Here is a 25,672-nt window from a genome sequence, read left to right on the forward strand (position 1 = left end):
TCCTATCATATGGAAATGCTCAGTAGATGGAATCTGCTGTATCTACAATGATGCAATGGCATCATTGTTTTTATTACTTTTGTTATTATTATTACTATTGCATCAAAATATCTTTTAGATGAACAACATTATCTATGAGCTCTGCCTTCCAGGAGCACATCATTGAGTAAATAAAATAAGACAAGTACACAAGTAACAATCTCTTGCAACCCAAGTAACATTGGGCTTAAGCCACCTTCCAAGACTTCTGCCAATCCCAATGGGTCATTCGTGTGGTCATGTCTGGCTCCAGGCTCTTGTGTTGCTGTCTGTGCTGACTCAATTTGCTACCAATTTCAACAGGGACATGAAATTCAGCCCCCTCTTAGATATCACACAAATATACACAAACATCAAAATATGCATAAATTACAACTCAAAAAGACTTCCAATTATTGTAGAGTTTACTGAAAATTTATGAAGGAGAGATCTATGTCTAGTAGTTCATCCCACTTTAAACTGAACTTTAGATTCAGGTTACACAGTAGATTTTTCTAAAGATACTGCATCAAGAAATTTTTACACGACACTTCGCCCCCACCAGTAAAGCCAGCCATGTCATATATAGCTGGCTTCTTTCTACCTTCATACACACTCCCTCCCTCTTTTGTGTCCTCCCTCTCTTTCTATATTTCTTCTTAAAAGCACAAAGGCATTAGCCTTACTGTCCCATTCAAACGAGTATAATCATCACCTTTGGTCTCTTGGGTCTTATTGAAGCCAGTACTGTCTTCTACTTATGAGTAGCTCATCAGTGTGGTTTTCTAATCAAAGACAGCTTTCTCCCTAAGAGTCATTCCACTGCCAGCTGTTGAAATAATCTAATTAATGTCTTGCTACCACTGCATTAGTACAAGGCTGATCTGTAATAATCAACCTTGTAATTGATTAAGCATCCACTCAAACACAATCATGGCTAATTATAAGCTCTTTTTTTTTCCTTTGTTTATTTCCTGTGCATGGTATAAATAAGATTTTGTAGACTTTTCTTTTCTACTTAATTTTATATAACAAATATCTTCTATATAACTACATAGTCATTATATGTGTCATTTTTCATGGCTATGTAGTAGGGTTTTGAATGTATATACCATATCGTTTACTTAACCATTCCCCTATTGTTGGACTTTTAGGCTCTTCATAAATTTTTTCTGCTATAAATTAGGGTATATCTTTGTGTATAGAGATCTTCTTTTGCCCTTAAAAACAGAAATTTGGGAAGAATTTTCTGTGAAACTTTCACAAAAATCTAAATGAAATTATTGGTCTATAGATATATTAGCAACTGAGATTGCAAGTATTCTATCAGTTTATTTTCATTTAGAAAAATGCTTTTATAGAATCAAAGACATGTCTATAGAGAGCAATCAAATTCTTATTAAGTGACTATCATATATCAGGTATTTTTAATTAAGTGTTGATGGAGAGAGAGAAGAACAATTTTAACTTTTACAAATCCCCTTTATGAAAATGTTGCCATTCCCTATATGCCTGATCGGCATTATCATTCATTCAGTAACACTCAGGGTAAGTTTAACAAAAAGATGGCAACATATCTTTCATATTTTATTATTTAAAGTTATGTCCATGCCATTGTATATTGGCTTGTTTCCTGGAATGCCCTTCCATACTTATGACGAATTCATGATTTTTTGAATTAAATGATGAATTCCTATTTTTTTCCAAATCCTGTTCAATTATCACCTCCTCTATGGAACATTCTCTGGCCACCCCAATGATGTGTTGGAGCCAGCTTACATGAGCAGCAGAAAGCCAGTTGTATGCATCTCTTCTCATATCTGCTTTCTATGACTTTAGGTAGTTAGCTTGAAATCAGCCATCACAGTAACATTTACACAACAAGAATTGGTAAACTTACAAACTGGGACTTTTCCCTAGAAAGCTGATTGTTTAACATTTCCTGAACCACCTCCACACCAAGGTAATCACATGTTTCTCTGAAGTACTTTTATTTATTACTACTTTTAGATTAAAATTTTAATTTTTTTTTTTTTGAGATGAAGTCTTGCTCTGTAACCCAGGCTGGAGTACAGTAGCACTATCCTCACTGCAACCTCTGCCTCCTGTGTTCAAGCAATTCTCCTGCCTCAGCCTCCCAAGCAGCTGAGACCACAGGCGTGTGACACTATGCCCGGCTAATTTTTTTGTATTTTTAATGGAGATGGGGTTTCACCATGTTGGCCAGGCTGGTCTCGAACTCATGACCTGACATGATCCACCCACCTCAGCCTCCCAAAGTGCTGGGATTATAGGCCTGGGCCACTGCACCTGGCCTAAGTGTTAAGTCTTATACTTACTATGTTGGTTATCACACCATCTCTATTTGCACATCTTTCACTGTCAGTCTGGAACTTCTTGAGCCTAGGGACTGTGTCTTAATCATCTTTTTGCTGCTTCAGTCTTGTACAAAGTAAGAACTCTATGAACTATAGTGCTTATTGTTGTCATTGTCATCATTGTTATTTAAATGGTTGTTTAACTGAACTGGTAAGTTAGTATGTTAACTTTAGGGCAACGTTAACTGCAACATGGACTCTTGGCAGATAGGCAAAGTATAAACTAAGCATGTTTTAAATTGGCTTTTTAATATCCAAAAAAGTCAATTTAAATTTTACTGGTATATTTTAGGGGCTTGATTTCATTAAGAAATATTGTAGTTAATAAGCCAAGTGTCAGACTCAGACAAACTATGGTAAATTTTTTGGAGCCAAATCTCAGTGATTAAAGAAGAATTAAAACTGACTTGATAAAATGGAGATATTATATAACCACACATTCATTTTTCTCTCCCAAGCCAAAAGCTAGTGTTTTTCACATTTTTTTTTTAGCCCCACAGGGACTAAAAAGGGACTTACACAGACTGGACACTCTGGCAAGTCTCTGGGACTGATTAGAATGGGCCCTCTTCTTCATGGTCTGTTGACCTTGTCATTCAAACCTCCATACATGATGTAAAATCCTTTTAAAATATTCAAAGACACAAGTTCTGGGAACAAATTTTTGCCACTAAGGCCCCTGGTATCACAGATAATGCTTATCAGTTTTGGGATGTCTTGCCATGGCCTGAAAGAGGTAAAAATGAGGATTCCTGAAACATTAATTTATGAATAAGCAAATCACAAAACACAAATGGTGGTGTCATCTTCCTCAGCATTACTTCGAGTGGCTTCATAACAAAGGCTTGTCCAGTGATGGGTTTTAGAAAGAGCACTGAACCAGGAGTCAGAATTCCTGGGTTTTAAGGCCAGCATCGCACTAGAGGCAAAATGATCTTGGGCAAATTGTTTAATCTTTCTTGGTTTTGTTTCTGTAACTGAAAAATGAGGGGATTTGATAGGTGCCTCCTTGCTTTCCTCCCAATTTTTAATTCTCTGACATCTGTGGGGGCTAAGAGATTAGTTCCCTTGAGAAGCTTGTGCCAGGAGGAGCAGATATTGTCACCTTCACATTTTCAGTGATTTTTCTTTCTTGTCTTCTAGTTAGAAATTTCTGAGACTGATTTTGCTGCAGGCAGAGAACTGTGAGAAAGGAAAGAAACATTCTTGGGAGTTTTGACCAACGGCATCTTGAAACTAAAAAATTAAAGTATGAGAAAACATACACAGATAATGAGCCCAGAATAACATAGTCATGGACCTTCTAGTGAGACAATTGCATCTAAAAAACAATGAAGTAAAAATGCATTTCACAGCCAAGAAAAACATGTAGAAACAATGAGTGGAGGATGTTTCTACTTCCCTATTCTCTTTGTGATGCTAATATCAGGAAAGAATCATTAAATCTAATGGCAAATTTAGAAAAGCTAGCCTTACTATATGGATACCCTGAATTAAAATTGCTTTTAAGTCTTTTCTGCAAAACTCAAAAATACTTCCACTGATAAGAAAGTATGATGAAAATCAAACTGATGCTTAAACATTGGGCCTTAAATATTTTGAAATCTAATCAATTGGGGAAATAGAGGAGTTCATTTGAAATAATACCAGAAATAAATAATATAAAGAATCTGTGCCAACAAATGTTGTGACATTATTCATATGTTATTCACTGTATGTCCTTAAGTGAGAGTTATATGTGATAGTAAGTGGTCATTGTAGTACATCTGCTTCTCTGTATGAACAGGTGTTATATATGCCAGAGGCACCATTTGTGTGCCTTCTGACCTGTAACTACTAGTGTCCTTCTCTTGACAAGTATTTATAGTATAATAGCTAAGCATAACAGACATCAGAAAGACACGGTTCAAGCTATAGTTCTGTCATTTATTATTTGAACAGTTCACTTTACCTCTTGAAACTTCAATTTCTGTATCTGTAAGACAAGGTTATAGTAATACCATCCTTACAGGGTTATAAAGAAAGGGCTTAGAACATTGCCTAAAATATAGTACATGCTCAATAAATTATTTTGTCTTGTTTTATAACCTTCAATGTGCATGGTCCTGGGGATTTTAAAAGGTTGCAAACAGTAATCTGCATATCCATTTGTTTGTTAAGTTCCAAATGACCTAGAGGGTTCTAAGAATGTTGGCCCTGCATGAATTCAAAGTACAGGTGGAAGCTGCTATGGATTATAGATGTGAAAACATCCCTTTCGTAGAGGCAGGAAATCAGAGGCAGCAGCAAGCCATCATTCCAGCTGCAATTCTAGAAAAATTTAAAGATTTTCCTATGTGGACTGAGATTGTTAGCTGTTATCTTCCCTGGAGACACAGGCTAATTCTGGTACGAGCAGAGGACTGGCTTGGCATAAGTAGTGGTACACTGCTAGGGACAAGAGAAACCAGCATAGCTTTTGATAGCTACACGGGCTGACGTGGGAGGTGAAATCTAGAGGAGACCCAAACGCATGGCTATTTTTCCCAGAAGGCCACTGCTGAGTGCTGAGGCAGTGGGAAGCAAGAGTGGGCTGAGAAGACAGACTGAACTCTCCCGCAGTCCCACAGTGCTTAGGCAACAAAATCCCACTAGAAGTGCTCTGTAACAAGCATGCCACAGGTTTCATCCTTGAGACATTTGACCACAGAGATGGACTGAATATAACCAAAGCTTCTACCGAATCCTAAAACCAATAAAAATCTGATTAGATTGAGAGGATTAACACTTTGACCCAGTTACCAAACAGAGGAATGGATAAGAGCCCCTGACAAAAATATCACTTATTTTATGTACAATGTGTGTGTAACACTCAATCAAAATTACATAGCATGTGAACAGACATGAAACAGTGGCTAGTAATCAAGATAAAAAACAGACAATAGAACTGGGCCCAAATGTAATCCAGATATTGGAGTTAGCAGATAAAAACTTTTAAGCAAATATAATAAATGCGCTTATAAAAAATTGTAGAAAGATGAGGAAAATAAACGAGAACATAAAGACTTTCAACATAGAATTACAGTCTACCAAAAAAACACATTAAAATGGATATTCTAGAACTGAGCAAATAAAATATCTGAAATTAAGAACTCAACAGATGGATTTAATAGTAGACTGTAAGTCAAAGACAGAATTAGAAAAACAAAAGAGAGGCCTACGAAAAGGTTCCAAACCAAAGCCTTACAATGAAATAAAAAAGTGGGGAAGGGAAAAATGGAAGGAATAGAACAGAGTATAACAGACGTGTATGACACATAATTGAAGTCTGAGAAGGAGATAGAGAAAATGGAACAGGAACAATACTGGCAACAAACAATTGCAGAATATCATCTGATTCTTCTCCTTTGTTGTTTATGTTGTTCAATGTGTGAATTACATTACTTTTTTAATGTTAAAACAGCATTGTGTTCTTAGAATAGACCCCATTGCAGTAGATCAGCAACTCTCCAGTCTCTTCAGCCCAGCTCTTTCCTCTTGTAGTTCTTTTCCTAGGTCAACACATTGGAACTATCATCCCTCAGCTGTTTCCCAAGCTGGAGTCCCTGATCTTTCAACATGGGCCTCCCCATCCCATTACTGCCTCTCTGATGATCTAAAAACCAGGGACTTGGCCACACTCACTAGGTATCTTCTGTAATGAGTAGAATTTTTCTGTTGTCATGTTACTGCTCTGGGATGTGGCCTTTTGAATACCTACCTACAAAGCAGCTCTTCATTTTCAGACAGCCCTAAGTACTATACGTTTTTATTTATTTAGGGCTAAAATTTGGTTATCTCTAGATGACAACCTAATTTGGGGCTGAAGCTATTCAGAATAGTCTATTACTTTAAATTTCACATGATTCTTTTTGTAATGAATTAATTTATTTTTATTGATACATAATAGCTGCACATATTTTTGCAGTATATGTGATCATCAATACATTCATATAATTAAGTCAGTGTAGTTGGAATATGCATCACCTTAAATACTTTTCTTTATGCTAGGGACATTCAAATTATTCTCTTCTAGCTATTTTGAAACGTACAATTGATTTACATTAACTATAGTTACACTACTGATCTATCAAACACCAGGTCTTATTTTTTCTAAGTGTATATTTGTACTCATTAACCATACATGACAACTCCTTCAATGTGGAAGATAATTCTTATATAACCCCAGTTTTCTCTTACACAAGCTAAACATCTCAACTTCTGTTAACTTTATCTTACTTCCATATTAATTGGGACTCTTGGTTACTAGTGATAGAAACCTAGCTGATACAGGCTTTGAAAGGGAGGATCTAGAACATAGCTGGGAAATTTAAGAGATTAGAACTGGCTTTGGGCATCCACATGCTTTCCTTTCCTGGAGCTGACTTCACTTTAAGGCAAGCACTCCTGCATGGTAACTATATTAGCTCTGAAGCTCTCTGACATACCCTGGAGACATTTTCCTCATTGTCTTGATGATCAACATTGGGCTCCTCATTACTTATGCAGATTTCTGCAGCTGGCTTGAATTTCTCCCCAGAAAATGGGGTTTTCTTTTCTATCTCATTGTCAGGCTGCAAATTTTCTGCATGGCTGGGGAGGCCTCAGGAAACTTACAATCATGGTGGAAGGCACCTCTTCACAGAAGGGCAGGAGAGAGAATGAGTGCCCAGACAAGGGGGAAGCCCCTTATAAAACCATCAGATCTCATGAGAATTAACTCACTATCACAAGAGCATGATAGGGGAAACTGCCTGCCGTGATTCAATTACCTCCACCTGGTCCCTCTCACTACACGTGGGGATTATGGCAACTACAATTCAAGATGAGATTTGGGTGGGGACACAGCCAAATCATACCAGTAATAAACATGACTATGAGCAAATCCCAGTTGACATCATCTTTGCAGTATGTAATCAAAGAGCAAAGATCTTTCAACTTCTTTGAATGCCAGCTTCTTTCAACCCGCTTCTTTGAATGCCAGCAAAAGTCTTGATTGGCCCAGCTTGTGATGCCTGTCAACTCCTAACCAATCACATGCAGATAGAGTGATAAACTGTTCTGATTGAGCAGGCCTGGTTCTGTGTTGGGGGAAGGGAAAAGGAAAATCAGCCCTACCCAAACCAAGGGAAAAAGGATCCAACCACTGGGAGAAGGAGGGGAGGAAAACCACTCTAGTTGAGCAATGTCCTACTGTAGATTAGATGACAGTGCTATCAATACAGGCATGATTACATAATTGTAATTCCATCCTGCAGGATAGTATATAGCTCTTAAATTTTATGTATATTCAATGACACAGAAGAATGCCCATGATATATTGTTAAATGAAAAAAAAAGCATGATGGTATATAAACTATTTTGCCATTTTTATAAATAATACTCAATACCCTGCCCTCCACACTTACCCTCATAAACCTCTTTGGAATATATTTGGTCCCTCTTAACCTATCTAAACTCATTTCCTCATCTTGCCGTGAAAGATAGCAGGAGAGTTATTGTTAGATACAACGTTAAAGTATCCTACGTGTGACAAAAGTTATCCTTATCTATGAGAAGAAGAAAATAATAATAAAGTTGTTGGTTTTTCAGACAACGCGAAGTGGATCCATAGAATCCTTACTAAGTTAATTTGACCGAACTTATGAGCTGTGACATCGTAAACCATGCACAAGGGCTCTTCCAGGGTTAAACAAAATGCATAACAATCAAATACAGCAACATCTGCCAAAAGAAGTAACACCAATAAATTGCAAGTGATTGTTTAACTATCTAATGTGGTATAATCAGCCATGCACACAGATCATTCCCCAATAAATGCTCTCACCATGCATGGGATATGAGGCATAAATCAATTTCTGATTACTATAATCCTTTAAACAATAATCTGAGAAATATTTCTGCCCGCAAAGAAAACAAAAAATAAAATCAGGTAAAGTGCTCTGTGGTCAGGAAAGTTTAAAGATAACTCTGTCTTGATAGAATGACTCTAGGTTGTATAGGAAATACGAAATAATAGGCATTGCATTTTGAAAAAACTTTACATTCATCGCATTATTTATATAAAATGTGATAGTAATTTGATCATTCTCATAGAGCCGCCTTGCTTGAGAAGACTTCATGAGTGTCATTTGACAAAATTGAATCAACCTTCCTTTCATTCAGAAATAATTCTTGCTTTATGTAACAAGCCATGTTTTCTTTCTTCTCTCTCCACTCTTTGCTGTCCTCAGGAGCATTTTCAGAAGAACAGAAGGTTTATGGCTCTCAGTTTCTAGGGTTCCTGCTGTTTCTGTTTATTCACCACCTGAAGTCTTAATTCGCTGTGTGTAGCCTGCAATTGACTACTGTGGAGATAATTTTGACATAATCATGCTAGAATTATGACTTAGGGACAGAAATCACAGGAAAGTGAATGAAGTCTTACAATGGGTCCTAAATCACCAAGAAGAACCAGCAATAGGATAATTTTCAGCCTAATTATCTGTTCTATCTTTACTACATATAAAAATAAAATCCGCAGGCTTATTTTTCCCCCATTGGCTCTTAAAACTCATTTCCAAGGCTGTTTTTGCAGTTATTAACTTCTTCACATCTAGAATTCTGACAAGGGTACCACTTTAGAAATGTCAGAACTAAAAGTTGGTTTGAGTTGAGCTGAGTGAAATGTACCAGGTAAATCAGCAGCCACTTGGGACTTCGACACAATTTGGAAATGAATTTCACACTTAAATCCCATCTCCTTACTTTCCAAGGTAGATGATTTGCTGCTGGTTCAGTCAACATCAAAACAAATTCATTCATGTAAGTCTAAGCATTACTGTGAGCCCCTGTTGATTGTCAAAGCAAAATTCAAAGCAGCCCACACTAAAATTAAACAGAAGAAATAAACCCCACAGTGCCTTTGCTGGGTCTTGGCAAACAGATGGGCTGGTGCAGAGCCAGGGGCAGCCTTAGGAATTGTGAAACCTCAGCTGTGCCTGCTTCCTGAGTTTCTCTGATGCACACTTGCTTGGTTTACTTTCATTTTTCCACACTTGCCTCTATCCCTCAGAAACACTTAAAGCCATTCTTCAAGCCAATCTGATGTCAAAAACAGAGTAAAAGAAAGGCATGGTGCTAGAAGTTGGGACATATCTTAGCCTAGCTACATATTAATTAGAAAACAAATCTCAATTAATATTGAAATGGCTGTGAGAGACACAGCCTTATGTTACCTCCAAGTCACACACTTGGGTAACTCCCTCCCTTCAAGTGTGGGTGAGTAGAACCTGGGATTTGCTTCTAACCAATAGAATATGGCAAAGGCGATGGGCTATTACTCCTGTGATTATATTACAATATATTTATAAGACTCCATCTTGCCAGACTGGAGGGAAAAAATGTCCCACTGGCCTTCAAAAAGCAAGTTGTGGTGTGAACTGCCTATGGAGAGGATCACATATCAGGGAACTAGGGGTGGCCTCTGTGGACTGAGAGCCTCAATCCTACAACCACAAGGACTTGAATTCTTCCAACAACCACATGAGATTGGAAGAGGACCTTGAGTTCCAGAAAGGAATGCAGCCTAGCCAATGCCTTGATTGTAGCCTTCTCACAAGGCCACAATAAAAAAAATTCAGATAAGCTGTGTCTAGTCTCCTCACCCACAAAAACTGTGAGATAATCAATGTGTGCTATATGTTAAGCCACTAAATATATGGTCATTTGTTATCCAGCAATAGAAAACTAATACAGTAACCATCAAAATATTCACATTGGAAACACTTTTGCATGACCATTGGAAATCAAGGAATTGGTGCTATCTGTAATCTAGAAATCTAGAAGAGTTAATTCTTCAGATACAGTCTGATATGGTTTAGCTGTGTCCCCACCCAAATCTCATCTTGAATTGTAGTTCCCATAATCCCCATGTATTGTGGTAGGGACTTGACGGAAGATAATTTAATCATGGAAGCTGTTATCTTCATGCTGTTCTCATGATAGTGAGTTAGTTCTCATAATCTGATAGTTTTATAAGTGGCTTTTCCCTCTTTTGCTTGGCACTTCTCCTTGCTGCCGCCATGTGAAGAAGGACATGTTTGCTTCCCCCCCACCATGATTTTAAGTTTCCTGAGGCCTCCCCATCCATGATGAACTGTGAATCAATTAAACCTCTTTCCTTTCTAAATTACCCAGTCTTGGGAGTGTCTTTATTAGCAGCATGAGAATGAATCACGGACACAGTCTAAGTGGTCCTGGATCAAAAGAAGATGCTGAAAGCTGCCCTCTTTCTGACAGCAATCTTTCTGGAAGGGAGGAAGAGGAACTAATAAACTCCCACAGATGCCTCTCTATCTGTGAGGATGCATTTGGATGTAAGCAAAGAAAGCATGACTCCACATTGCTTAAAAACAAAAGAAATTTAATGACTTGGGGAAACAAATGTAGAGGAATCTCTTTCTAGCATTGGAGGAGGACTGATTTGGCTACTCAGGATGTCATGAAAGCCCAGTTTTGTTTTGTTCTTTCTAACTCCACTCTGCCTGTCATGGTGTCAGATATATCCTAAGACTGGCTCCTAAACCCCATAGATTCAAGGTGTCTGCCAACAGTTCCCATTGCTGGCTGCCTCCTCTTCCACATCCATCAGGAAACAGTCTTTGTCCCAGGATTCTCAGCAAAATTTCTGAAAGTCACACTGATTGGACTGGCTTGGGTCACATGCTGATCTCCTAAACCAGTCCTTGCAGCCTGGGGGTTGAAATGCAAATTTGACTGAGCCAAGGTCCAGTGTTCCACCCCTCAAGCTGGGAATGAAATAAGCATGGAGAAACACATGGAACCTAAATGGAAATCACGACTCTGGAAAGGAGAGTGGATCACGGGTGCAGGGAGGCTGCTAACAAATGTCTACTAAAACTCCAATTCCAAGAGGTGAGTTGGCACTGTTCCAAGACTCAAAAGGCAGGAAAGCATAGGGAACTCATGGGAAGCCCGGCCCATTGGGTCCTTTCACTTGAGCTCTAGGAATGCACATCTGAGGGAAGGCCTCAGATGTGGCTCCTGGTCATAAGTCTGAAAGCAAGCAGAGGACTGGCCATGCTGGGGAGCCCTTCATTCCTGAATGAGTGTGATGGCACCCAGCTTATGCTCTGATTGTGGCTGCAGCTGTCACTCTAGGTCCCTGCCCCTTAAACTGCAAAATTGCTGAGCAAGCAATCAGAACCTAGTGAAATCCTTTGTCAACCCCAAATCAACACTGGCCAAGCAAAGATACCCTTCTCTAAGGAATGGCAAATGGAATAACTACTGAGCATAGTAAAAGAGCTTACAGGTCATAAGAATAAAGCAAAAAAATTCTAGGATGGCTCAGTAGAACTACTTTTTTTGAAACAGAGTTATTTCAAAAAACAGAAAAAATTAGAAATTATAATTCATGATTCTTTGACTTTAATTTTTAGACCACATATAGTTGAGTTAATCATAACCCTCAGTTCATGACACACTAAATAATCCATATTTTTGACATGAATCAAGAACCTACAGTCTGCCACCATGAAAACATTTTGTAATAAAAAAGAATTGCAAAGCCAGGAGCGGTGGCTCACACCTGTAATCCCAGCACTTTGGGAGGCTGAGATGGATGGATTACCTGAGGTCAGGAATTCAAGACCAGCCTGACCAACATGGTGAAATCCCGTCTCTACTAAAAATACAAAATCAGCCGGGTATGGTGGCACATGCCTGTAATCCCAGCTATTTGGGAGGCCGAGGCAGGAGAATCACTTGAACCCAGGAGGTGGAGGTTGCAGTGAGCCAAGATGGCACCACTGCACTCCAGCCTGGGCAACAAGAGCAAAAGTCCATCTAAAAAAGAATTGAGCTGAAATACTCCTATTTATCTTGAAAGGAAAATTGATGTTAAAGTCATTATGGAAACAGTTAAAGGCAATTTGGACTATGCAGAAAATGGAACAAGCAAAATAGCCAAATAGAAAACAGTATCAAGAAATTATCCCTAAGGTAAAAGCAATAGCAATAATGTAGAGAAAAGATAAAATATCAGAGTGAAGCGATAACTTCACTCTGAAGAGTGAAGAAAGAGAATGAGGAAAGTGAAGAGTGAAGTGAAGACAAAGAAGAATGGGGACTGAAGGAAAAGAATCAGTGGAAGAGAGATAAATGTCAAATAGCACAGAAAATATTTCTTATTTAGAAAAAATATTTTAAATAACAGAGAGTACACACCAGATATTTGGTAAACAGAACCCACCATGACATATGCTAGGTAAACCTCTCTACCTTCAAATATAAAAGAAAAAACTTAAGCCTGGACAACATACCAAGAACGTATCTCTTTTTTTTTTTTTTTTTTTGAGATAGAGTCTCACTCGGTCGCCCAGGCTGGAGTGCAGTGGCGTGATCTCAGCTCACTGCAGGCTCCATCCCCTGGGGTTCAGGCCATTCTCCTGCCTCAGCCTCCCGAGTAGCCAGGACTACAGGCACCCGCCACCTCGCCCGGCTAATTTTTTGTATTTTTAGTAGAGACGGGGTTTCACCGTGTTAGCCAGGATGGTCTCGATCTCCTGACCTCGTGATCTGCCCGCCTCTGCCTCCCAAAGTGCTGGGATTACAGGCGTGAGCCACCATGCCCGGCCAACCCTATCTTTTAAAAAAATTCAAAATAAAAAATTAGCAGCATTCCCTGTAGTCCCAGCTACTGGGGAGGCTAAGGCAAGAGGACCACTTGAGCCCAGGAGTTTGAGATCAGCTTGATATAGCAAGACCTAATCCCAATAAAATTATATATATATAATGTTCTATTGTATTGTGTGTGTATATATATATTTCACACTTCAATAGAACATACACAATCTCACAAAGAAGTAAAAAAAAATTTAAGAGTATGGTACCCAGCAAAGAGTAAATATTCTATTGACCTCCTATTTCAACTATTAATGACTGAAATCATGCAAAAATGTCTACAGACCTTTAAAGGAAAATACCATGTTGCAAGAATTCCATGCCCTGCACATGTGATAGCAAAATAAAGTCATTTTGGGGTATGAAACAGCTCAGAATATGTACTACCTAGAAACTTTTCCTAAATAAATACCTCAGAAATATTGAAAGATATCAAGATGCATTGATATTAATCTGATAGTCACCTTTTTTTGTTTTGGTTTGTTTTTGAGAGACAGGATCTTTCTCTGTCACCCAGACTGCAGTACAGTGGCATGATCACGGCTCACTGCAACCTCAGCCCAAGCATTCCTCCCACTTCAGCCTCCCAAGTAGCTGGGACTACAGGTGCCCAACACCACACCCAACTAATTTTTGTATTTTTTGTGGAGACGGGGTTTCAGCATGTTGCCCAGGCTGGTCCCAAACTCCTGGGCTCAATCAGTCTGCCCACCTTGGCCTTCCAAAGTGCTGGGATTACAGGCATCAGCCACTGTGCCCAGCTATATTAATCATTGTAAATATGGTACAACTGAATTTTTGTAGCCCTAAAACCTAAAAGGAAGCTCAAATAAATCTCATACCTCTTTTCAACAACTAGAAAGAAAATATCTTTTAGGAATTTGCCAATTCAAAGCCATAAAGTAAGCAAACCAGGATGTCATCTTTTAGCATAGACATACTTTTTAAGGTATACTTTTTATTGAAGCAAAGCATACATAAACGTAAAACTACACACAGGCAAAAAATGCTGAGGCGAGCTGCTCCCTCTGCGATATTGGAGAGCACCTCCATGTGTCATCTGAGAAAGGGCCACAGTGAGGTTGCCCCAGGTTCTTAAAGGAAAAGCTGACTCTGGGGTGTCCCTTCCCCACCCAAAATGCCTCCCTGTTGCCATCTCCTTGACAAATCAGATGGAGGTGGCACATTTTTTTCCGTGATAATCTTTTGTGACCTTTCTATAAGACTCTTAATTTCCTTCTTGAAGTTACAACCAGAGGTTGGAAGTTTTTGCATTGGGATCAAGTATTCCATTATCATTATCCCCTAGGAGAGACAGCTTTACAATCCCATGTGCGTGAGGGGATTGGTAGAAAAGAGTATGACCTTCCTTCCACAAACTAAAAGCTAAAAGACTTTATTCATTTTTTTCCTTCCCAAATTGAAGCAATTCACTTCTAGACATCCTTGGCAGGAGCTCAGAACTGTTTATGCAGGCTCCATGCAGGCAAAATATTTTTTGATATCCTGCTTTTGGTTGAGTCATGGTAATGTTGGCAATGGTGGTGAGGGCAGGAGATCAAGTCATTTTTCAAAGTTCTAAGTAAATGATGTTCTAGTAAGATCAATATGAGAGAATTAAAGACTAATATAAAGTTTATCACAAGGCCAACATCTATAAGTTAGACCTTTTTTTCTTTTCCTCTAAGGGCAGTGGTTCTCAAATTTTAACCCATGTAAGAATCACCTGGAAGTCTTGTTAAACACAGACTTCTGGCTGGGCACAGTGGCTCACACCTGTAATCCCAGCACTTTGGGAGGCCGAAGTGGGTGGACCACCTGAGGTCAGGAGTTCGGACAGCCTGGCCAATATGGTGAAACCCCGTCTGTACTAAAAATACAAAAGTTAGCCGGGCCCTGGTGGTGTGCACCTGTAATCTCAGCTACACAGGAAGCTGAGGTAGGAGAATCGCTTGAACCCAGGAGGTGGAGGTTGCAGTGAGCTGAGATCGTGCCACTGCACTCCAGCCTGAGTGACAGAGTGAGACCCTGTCTCAAAAAAAAACCACGGACTTCTGACCCCATCCCAGAGTTCCAGGGGTTGGAGAGCATGGAGGGGGAAGATTTTTCCTTTCTAACAAGTTCTCAAGTCATAGTGATACTGCTGGTCCAGGGACCCTACTTTAAGAACTACCGACCTCAGGGAACCTTCACAGTAAGTATCTGTAATGAGTCCAATCAATGAAAACTTCAGTGAATTAGACTTCATTAGAATTACTTCAACTTTGTTTTGGGAAAGTCTATAGACATTTTTGTTTAATGCTGCATACATATGCATTATCTCCACCTAGGCATCAAATAAATATTCTTTGGGGTACTGATCTAATGAGAATACTGGTAGATATAAATGCTCTTCCATTTGCATTTTAATTATTTGAAAACTAATGTTCACAAATTCACTCCCTGGTGCTCTAATCATTTCCTCTACTATTCAATGCTTATCAAAGCAAGTCATTAATAAAATAGATCAACACAAAATGTTTTATGATGTGAAGAAAGTAGAGTCCCAAAGAATGCATCTCACAACCTTAGAGAAAATAAATGAAATAGAAACCTAGAACTGCTTCACTGAACTATGAGTGATGATTTGTTGAATGCCTCAAGAGGAAGTAAAAAGTTACATTTGCATCATTTCTGTATTTGATCAGCCGTTGTTTACCTGACTTGTTCTTAGGCTGCCTTAGATTCTGAGCTGGCTTCCCTTTAGGCTTTTTCATAAACAAATAACTGGAAATGTCTCTAAGGAGGGGAGAGACCAGTTCCTCATTGCAGCTGGTAGCAAGGTTGCTTTCACTCAGCCAGGAGGACGCATTGTTACAGGTGTGGAACTTGTTGCTCCGAGCCCTCGCCTGGCAGCTCACTCTGGATCTGCGGGTTCTGAGGAGCCTCGGGACCCACCTGGGTGCAGTTGCCTTCAGGGACAGACCATCTTACAGGTATTAAAGGCAACATTCAGCTGCTTTCTGGGTTTCTCTCTTGCACTTTCCTTTTGTCCTATTGCTATCAGTTTCGCTTGTTTTGCTGATCTCTCCAGGTCTCATTAGAATTAGTGAATCATTAACCTGCAATGGTTTCATTTCTAGTACAGTGAGATGGCTTCCCCAACAGTGTGGGTGGGTGTTTGCTGGATTCTCAAAGCTTGGAAGGTCAAAGGTTGGTGAATTTTCTTTATGGTGACCATGTATTAATTTCCTCTTTTAAACATAAAGAAGAGTTAGCATGAATGGATTGACTTGTTAACTTTTGATTCTACCAGATCCACTGGGTGTAGTCATTTAGGGAAAGCTTCCCAGGAGCCTTAGCCATTATCTCATTTAATTTCTGCAACAGGCCTGTGAGGGAGGTTCTTTGATGTCCTCTTGGTAAATGCTGCATGGCAGTTGGCAGAGGAGAAGTGGCTTGTCCTAGGTCACACAGCCAATTGGCGGTGATACTGGAAGAGAAACCAGACCCATTTCTTCTGGTGCTTGAGCTCTTCCTGCCTTTCTGCAAACCACCTCCCTAAGCCCTGCTGTTTTTAAAGTTTCTCCATTTCCGCAGTGCATCATGTCGGCAGTTACTATTGCCTTGGTTCCAATATTTAAGACAGTGGCTAATAAATAATTCTTACCGATGTGAATCCTATTGGCCATAAATAACTTCCTACCAGCAGCTACACCCCTGTGTCTGAACGACTACAAAGGAAACCCAAAGCCGTATCCTAACCCCTCAAAAGAGGAGAGGAAAAGGCCAGAAGGACAGAGGGGAAACCCAAAGACTAAGAAATCTGATCTAACTATTATGCAAGTGCCTATGCAAATATACTGAATTCCTTTAACATTGTTGCTGCCTAGAACTTGGACAGTCTTCTAAAGGAGAAAAATAATAGAACGGCCCTGATTGTATGTATGTGTGAAAGTACCTATTGATTCAAAATTAGCTGGGTGGGGTGGTAAGCATCCATAGCCCCAACTACTCAGGAGCACTGCAGCATGAGGATTCTGTGAGGCTAGGAGTTTGAGGTTACAGTGCGATATGATCACACCTCTGCACTCAGCCTGGGCGACAGAGCCAGACTCCATCTCTAAAAAGAAAAAAAAAAAGAAAGAAAGTACCTATAGATTTGATGCTCAGCTCAGCATTTGTTTGTTGGGAGAATGAGGAACTGGCCTCTCCATGTAGCAACAATGTACCTTATTTTATCAATGGTAGGGAGGGACCATTTCATACCTCTCCAGCAATGTTGGTATCAACCTTCAGAGCAGCCTCCAGGAATTACCAATCTAAAACCAAAACTAGTACAATCTCACCTTAACTGAACATAAGTTTCCTAAACTGGCATTGCCCTCTTTCCTCCACTCTGCAAAAAAGGGTACCTCATGGGTTTTAGTTCTACATGTGAAGTTCTATAACAATTGAGTCCTCAGCTCAAAATAAAGCAAACACAACATTAAGAATTTTAGATTTCTTTTGTGAATAAGAGTTGAATTGACGTTAGTTTGCATCTAAGTTGTTCCTCAAACAACTCACCAGTCTGAAATCCAGTACCTGTTAGTTTCATTTGGCATTTTAAAAAGGTTTTTATAGAGATGGGGTCTCACTATGTTGCCCAGGCTGGTCTTGAACTTCTAGGCTCAAGGGATCCTCCCGCCTTTGCCTCCCAAAGTGCTCGGATTACAGGCATGAGCCTCTGTGCCTGGACTTACTTGACCTTAAACAAGGTAAGAGTCAGGGAGTAAAATAAGAGACCACAAAGTCCCCAAAATCAATGTCAAGTCACAACATTGTCATGACAATGTCATAACATTGAGCTCCTCCTCTACTGATAGGAATAGATCTAACAACCTATTAATTATCTATTCACAAGGTTGTTGGACTTCTATGACTGACACAGATTAAAAGAAACAAAGAGGAGAGAGTGGTTGCCATAGGCAAGTACAAAAAGCATAGTGAGAAGTAAGGAATAAAAATTAGGGAGTACATTGGTGTGGGGCCATTTGGTGTGGGAGTGAATATTCAGATGCTATAGAAGCCTGTAACAATTATTGTATTCTCCACAGAACTATAGTAAACATAGTAGTAATCACTGTATTTTGGCAAAGTACTAGAATGATAGTCAACAGAATGAGGTCAGGTTATAAGGAAAAGGTTTATTGGTTTTCAGCCTTCTCTATATCAAGTTAAAGAAGCAAATAATACACCCTAGAAAAGTTCTACTAAAAAGTATTGCCCATGCAATTAAAATTATAAGAAGTAAATTATTAGCCATTCTTAAATTTTGGCTATCCAAATGTGGGCAAAGGGTTTCAGATTGCTGAGTTCTGCTTTAGAATGATAAACTTACTAAAACTATTATTGATGATCTTGGAATATACGGTCAACTACTAATGTTCCATCCACAAACAATCCACGCACAGTCTGAAGCCACCTCCCATGCCATCTGCGGCCAGGGAAGATGGGTCTCTCGCCTGTCCCACAGTCCCACACCTGGTCTGCAAATCATCAAGCATCAACTCTCATGCCATAAGGGATGTGTAAGGATTGATGTTTTCCCACACATACCTTCTTCATGTGGGAAAGTACAGAATAACGAAACTGCAATAAGCCACTCCCATGAATCAAGCTGTGAAATGGAAGGGTCAGCTTTTCTTGAGCATGAGAAGAGATAATTCTGCATGCATAGATTGCAAAAAACACCTCCAATCATGAACAGTAGGGTACCTGGTGATGTCTGGGTTTTTCTTTTCAAACCTGCAAGTCCTTTTTCCAAAATGTAAAGATTGATAGAATCTAAGATAAAAGACGTTGTCAGATACTTTACATCAGTTACCTTCAAAGCCTGTCTCATTCTGTAATTTAAACCTTGAGGGAAGGAGGCTTGTTTTCCTTGTTCTTGCATCCCCAGAATGCACCACAATATGTACATACATACATAAATGTAGATGATAAGGAGGATTTAATGTATATTTGATTCTCTTAAAATGGAATAATCACAAGGGGAGGAGCTATGTGGTTTCCAGGAAGTACCTTAAGTTACCAAAGTTTTTAAAGGCTTTTTTGTTTGAACCTAGAAGGAATATTAAGTAGACAGTAAACAGACTTCAATACGCTATTTAGATGAGAAGGCTGGAGTCACGTATATTAATTATCTTCTGAACGTAAAGGATGCTGATGTGAACTGAGCTCTATTGCCTATGAAGAATTAGAAGTTTTCCTTTGAAATTTTAGACCTTTTTTCTCACTGCAGTCTCCCTCATTTGCTACATATTTCACAGTCTGCTCTTCCTCACTACAGATGCAATAACCTGCTTGACATTCTCCTCTGGAAAAGGAAAAGAACTACGAGAGGAAGCATGGCACTTGGATGCAGAAATTGAGCACCCTCCATGTGATCCAGAGAACAGCAACTCATACGTCTTCTGGAACCTTCTACCAACAGTAGAACCTCTTAGCTTTATGGAGAAAACAGAGTCATTCTGTCCAGAGGTGCCACCCCAAGACTGTGGAGCCTCTCCTCGGCCCTCGCTGAGGAGCCTGCCAAAGAACCAGGGGAGTCTCCTCCAGTTTGACCGGCAAGCCCCAGGCCGCATCTCCACCTCGCCCACTTTGAGGAGATTAAGGACCCGTGGCTGTGGGACAAGGCAGGATGCCTGGCAGGTGACCACCTGGGGAAGCTGGGGAGCTCCTGTGGGCTTCCCATGTTACCTTTCGAAGAGCCTGCCAGGAAGCCCAAAGGATTCTTCACACTTGCTGTCACCCTTGAGACTCCACTCAAGATTGACCTCTGAACCTGAAAGGGCCCTGAATGCAGCTGACTCACTGGAGCCCCAAACCCGGCCCACTGACAAGTATCTCCCTCCTGAGCTTCAGCCTGTCAATGAAGGGTCCCTTCACCAGGCCTCTCTTCGGCAGCAAGAAGGCCACTTCCTGCCCAGCCCCACCCTACGACACCCTAGTCCTCAGGTAACACAGCTCTAAGCCTCCGGCCTCTCAGTTGCTGAACCACAAAGCAAAATAGATCTCAGAGTTGCTTAGTTCCCCCAAGGGCCAGTAGATCCTAAAAAGGAGACAGCACAGGAAGTCACACTGAGGGGACACATTCTCTTTAGGAAGCATTGGCTCTTAAGTGAAAGGAGGGCAGCAATCTGGGGAGGAAAGAAAATGATCTCGCTCACTTTCTTCTGTCCTTAGAGGCACTTTGAGAAAGGATGCACCAAGGCCAGGCTTACCGATGGTCTGTCAGGTACCCGAGAGCAATGGGGGCCCTCTTGCAAATGCACACTATTTAAAGACAACGTCGTGTCACTGATTTAAAAGGGGAGAAAGAGCCAGTTATTCAAATTTCCAATCCCACCAAAATGTAAAACATGTTTTAACTAGGAGGGCTCATTGTTTCTCCTTTCAACATGTTTGCTTTGGAGTTTGGGATGGGTTTGAGCAAGACTAAAACATATGTTCTTAAAATTTATTTCAGGGAGAAGAATTGCACCCATCCAGGTGTGTATGCATTTATTTTCTCCGGTGCTATGACATCTGTTGACTATTTACTATTAGATTTTTATTTCTGTCCTGACATAACAAAGCTGACGGTGTGTTAACCAGTGCACTTTGTTTTATAGCACTCAAGTCACTCTTCGCATTTATAGGTGCACGAGTTTTCATTTCAAGAGTCTCCCTTTAAGAGCACAGCATTTGGGGGCAGGATACAATGCCATATGCAGTCATAGTTTTCATTTTGAATTGTCAATGTCTTGGCCCTGTGGCTTAATTAACATCCACTTAGTAATAGGTTTTGTCTGGTAGAGAAAATAGAAAGGCCAGAGATATGCAACAGCTTTTCAAAGAAAAATTTGGAGGATAAAAGAAAGGAACAAGATGTCCTGGTTAAATCTAGGGTGACCTTTAAAATAACCTGTTATGACAGACTGTGCCCTTATCCAGAATGAAGTAGACTGTGTCATTTCCAAAACCAGCTCTGAACTTTCAGCACGGCCCCCTGGTTGTAGCAATGGATCTGCCATCTCTGACAGGGATGAAGAGTTTCTGCAGCAGCAAGGGAAAGATCCATGCCCAATTTTATCTTCCTGACTTGTGGGATTGGCAGGAAAGCCCTCATTTCATTTGAAAAGTCACAGAGGATTTTTTTGGAGAAATAGCTGCTGTTTTATTACTGGACCTCAATCCTCAAGCAATAGTTTGATATTCATAGCAGTAAGGATAACATCCATGTACACATTCTTTGTTGATTTTAATCCTTGTTGGCCTAATTGTACCAACAAAGGTAGAAGATACTTACCAAGCCATAGGGAAATGCAAATTGTTATGTCTGTGTATCAGCTAGCTGTTGCTAGATAAAAAACCACTTAAAGTAACAGACAGTTATTGTTTCTTATAAATCTCTGTGTTCCCTGGGGGTGACTTGGTCTAGGCTGGGTTTAGCTGAGCAGTTCCACTCCAAATGTTCCTTATCCTGCTCATGGGATCAAAGGGCTCCCATGGGTCCATGGGATCAATTAAGCAGATTCTTTATACAGTGAAGGGAGAGGTTCAAGAGGACAAGTAGAAACATGCAAGGCCTCTTGGAGCCTGGGCTCTGAATCTGGTCTAATTTTATTGACCAAAGCAAGTCACTCAGTTGAACTCAGCGTCAGGGAATTACATGTTACCAACAGTGGGAGAGCATTGAAATGTTACATGGCAAAGTGTATGGATGTAAGGAATGGGGAAGAGTGGGGCTGTTAATGTAAATCTTCCATACATGTGAAACAGAATAAAGCTCTCAGATGAGATCTAGTTCAGTTGTGTCAAAGAAAGTGGAAAAGGGTAGTCTTAGAAAAAAAAATTATGTTTAGAGTCGAATTATTTTAATAAGATTTTGAGAAATTTTATTCCTTACCCTAAGAGCAGTGTGAAACCATTTGATGAATTGATATGATCAGATGGATGTCAGATATACCTGGGATTTAGATGCAAGTAGACTTGAGTCAAATAATTCGAATGTTCAGGTATGAGAAGTTGTTAAGTTAGATTATGATGAAGGCAGTGGGGTTAAAAAGAAGTATCTCAATGCAAGAGATATTTAGGAGATACAATCCCCCAGACTTTGTGAATGGTAGCCTATCAGGGTGAGGGAAAGGAATCTTCAAGAATGACCTCCAAGCTTCTGGCTTGTTCAACTGGGTAACCAAGGTGTCCATTCACTGACCTAGATAAACTTGGGTAAAGAAATTAAATATGAGTGGTTAGAGTGTAGGTCTTGTGTTCAGGTTTGGACATGTTGAGTTTGAGGAACTATGAAACATCTAAGTGGAGATTTTGAGTAAATAATTGGTTAGAGAAGGCACCAGGGGTGGATGTACTATATGTATATTTGTGAGTCTTAAATCAAGGAATGTTTCCTAGAGCAGGTAAAGTCTGGGTCCAGCTCTGATTATTAGATGGAGCCGGCAGACATAAAGGCAGATCAATGGGATGCATGAAGCCATTTGCAAAAAAATGATGTGAAGGTAATTTCCATTGCCATATGAAATCTGTGAGGAAATAACAAAAATAGTCTTGGTAAATTTTAAAAGAACAGCTAGGTCAGGCTGGGCACAATGGCTCATGCCTATAATCCCAGCACTGTGGAAGGGCCAGGCAGGCGGATCACTTGAGGTCAGGAGTTTGAGATCAGCCTGGCCAACATAGTGAAACCTCATCTCTACTAAAAATATTTTTTCTTTAAATAAGCTGGGTGTGGTGGTGGGCACCTATAACTCCCTTCTTAGCCTGTTGACTTAAAGGTAGGAGGAGCCCAAAGTGTCCAGGTGGCAATTTTAACTTCAGTTTAATGGAAACTTTCTTGCGTCTCCTGGTGGCAGTGTTCCTCCCTCTGGAACTAAGACCTCTAGGCCAGCAGAACGTAATGTCACAGGAACAGGAGGCAAAAATTTGGCTAGTGGATCACTAGGGGTGATGATGAGTAGTGCCACTTTGACTTCCACCCCTTGATTCCTGAACCTGTGAATCCTGGCTATGGGAGAAACAGTACCATATATTGGATGCTGATTCAGAGCATTACATGGCCATCCAGAAAACTTTGTCCCAGCCCTGCAAAGTATTGTCACCTAGTTGGCACTACGATTGTGACTTCAAAAGGCCATTCCACCATTCTGTCAATCTAGCTGCTTCAGGATAATGGGGAACATGGTAAGACCAGTGAATTCCATGAGCATGAACCCACTGTCGCACTGCTTTGTCCATAAAGTGAGTGCCTTGGTCAGAGGCAATGCTGTGTGGAATACCATGATGGTGGATAAGGCATTCCATGAGCCCACAGATGGTAGTTTTGCCAGAAGCACTGCATACAGGATAGGCAAACCCATATTCGGAGTAAGTATCTATCCCAGTGAGGACAAACCTCTGCCCTTTTCATGATGGAAGAAGTTCAGTATAATCAACCTGCCACCAGGTAGCTGTCTGATCACCCCAAGGAATGGTGCCATATCGAGGGCTCAGTGTTGATCTATGCTGCTGGCAAACTGGGCACTCAGAAGTGGCTGTAGCCAGGTCAGCCTTGGTGAGTGGAAGTCCACTTTACTGAGCTTATGAGTAACCTCCATCCCTACCACCATGGCTACTTTGTTCATGGGCCCATCGGGCAATGACAGGGGCAGCTGGGGAAAGAGGCTGAGTGGTGTCCACAGAACGGGTCATCCTATCCACTTGATTATTAAAATCCTCCTCTGCTGAGGTCACCCATTCATGAGCACCTACGTGGGGTACAAATATCTTCACAGTTTTTGACCACTCAGAGAGGTCTATCCACATACCCCTTCCCCAAATTTCTTTGTCACCAATTTTCCAATCATACTTCTTCCAAGCCCCTGACCATCCAGCCAATCCATTGGCTGCAGCCCATAAATCAGTATATAATCGCACATCTGGCCATTTCTCCCTCCATGCAAAGTACACAACCAGGTGTACTCCTCGAAGTTCTGCCCACTGGGAAGATTTCCTTTCACCGTTATCCTTCAGGGATGTCCCAGAAAAGGCTTGTAGTGCTACAGCTGTCCACTTTTGGGTGGTGCCTGCATATTGTGCAGAATAATCTGTGAATCAGACCCTAGTCTTCTCTTCCTCTGTCAGTTGGTCATAGGGAACTCCCCATGAGGCCATTGGTGCAGACTGGGGGAGAGAAGGCAGGGTGGCAGGAGTGGAGACCATGAGCATTTGAGCCACTTCCTCATATAACCTACTTGTGCCTTCAGGACCCGCTTGAGCCCAATCACATATATACCACTTCCATTTGATGATGAAATGCTGCTATGCATGACCCACTTTATGGCTAGATGGGTCAGAAAGCACCCAGTTCATGATAGGCAGTTCAGGTCGCATGGTGACTTGATGACCCATAGTCAAATGTTCAGTTTCCACCAAAGCCCAGTAACAGGCCAAGAGCTGTCTCTCAAAAGGAGAGTAGTTATCTGCAGAAGATGGCAGGGTCTTGCTCCAAAATCCTAGAGGTCTCTGCTGTGATTCACCTATAGGGGACTGCCAAAGGCTCCAAACAGCATCTCTGTCTGCCACTGACACCTTAAGCACCATTGGATCTGCTGGGTCATATGGCCCAAGTGGCAGAGCAGCTTGCACAGCAGCCTGGACCTGTTGCAGAGCCTTCTGTTCTGGACCCCACTCAAAACTGGCCACCTTTCAGGTCACTCGATAAATGGGCCAGAGTAACACACCCAAATGAGGAATGTGTTGCCTCCAAAATCCAAATAGGCCTACTAGGCATTGTACCTCTTTCTTGGTTTGAGGAGGGGCCAAATGTAGCAACTTATCTTTCACTTTAGAAGGAATATCTTGAAAGGTCCCACACCACTGGACCCCTAGAAATTTTACTGAGGTGGAAGTTTTCTGAATTTTAATCAAATTTATGTCCCATCCTCTGGCATGCAAATGTGTCACCAATAAGTCCAATGTATTTGCTACTTCTTGCTCACTGGATCCAATCAGCATAATGTCATCAGTGTAATGGACCAGTGTGATATCTTGCGGAGGCGAAAAGCGATCAAGGTCTCTCCGAATAAGATTATGACACAAAGCTAGAGAGTTGATATACCCCTGAGGCAGGACAGTAATGGTATATTGCTGGCCTTGCTAGCTGAAGGCAAATTGCTTCTGGTGGGCCTTATGGACAAGAATGGAGAAAAAGGCATTCGCCAAGTCACTGGCTGCATACCGGTACCAGGAGATGTGTTCATTGGCTCAAGCAATGAAACCACATCTGGTACAGCAGCTGCAATTGGAGTCACCACTTGGTTAAGCTTACAATAATTCACTGTCATTCTCCAAGATCCATTTGTCTTCTGCACAGGCCAAATGGGAGAGTTGAACAGGGATGTGGTGGGAATCACCACCCCTGCGTCTTTCGAGTCCTTGATGGTAGCATTAATTTCCACAATCCCTCCAGGGATGCGATTTTTTTTTATTTACTATTTTTCTAGCTAGAGGTAGCTCTAAATGGCTTCCATTTTGCCTTTCCCTCCGTAATAGCCCTCACCCTACCAGTC

The 25,672-nt window shown here is 40.7% G+C and overlaps 1 protein-coding gene across 5 annotated transcripts in view, besides 1 other annotated feature; it reads left to right on the forward strand.

Annotated features, from left to right (window-relative positions):
- Window positions 1–15,931: 15,931 nt before the first annotated feature.
- The window catches only part of PLEKHG7 (pleckstrin homology and RhoGEF domain containing G7), a 69,467-nt gene continuing 59,726 nt past the window's right edge, over window positions 15,932–25,672 (forward strand). Inside the window, exons 1-3 of one of the 5 annotated variants that reach the window (NM_001377329.1) lie at window positions 15,932–16,075; window positions 19,414–20,081; window positions 20,593–20,615. In NM_001377329.1, coding sequence (NP_001364258.1) covers window positions 19,575–20,081; window positions 20,593–20,615 — 530 coding nt within the window. In that variant the 5' untranslated portion in view covers window positions 15,932–16,075; window positions 19,414–19,574. Of the gene's footprint in view, window positions 16,076–16,226; window positions 16,293–19,413; window positions 21,493–25,672 lie in introns of those variants that run through there. The other 4 variants (NM_001037671.4, XM_047428867.1, NM_001178097.3 and 1 more) reach the window with 4 other exon arrangements.
- Window positions 16,073–16,132: an enhancer, noted in NCBI's record as "active region_6753". NCBI's record gives its function as "activates an Ori minimal core promoter by ATAC-STARR-seq in GM12878 lymphoblastoid cells {active_cell/tissue: GM12878}" and the evidence as "EXISTENCE:reporter gene assay evidence [ECO:0000049][PMID:35858748]".

This window comes from Homo sapiens, chromosome 12 (genome assembly GCF_000001405.40).
Source record: "Homo sapiens chromosome 12, GRCh38.p14 Primary Assembly".
Classification (NCBI taxonomy): Eukaryota; Metazoa; Chordata; class Mammalia; order Primates; family Hominidae; genus Homo; species Homo sapiens.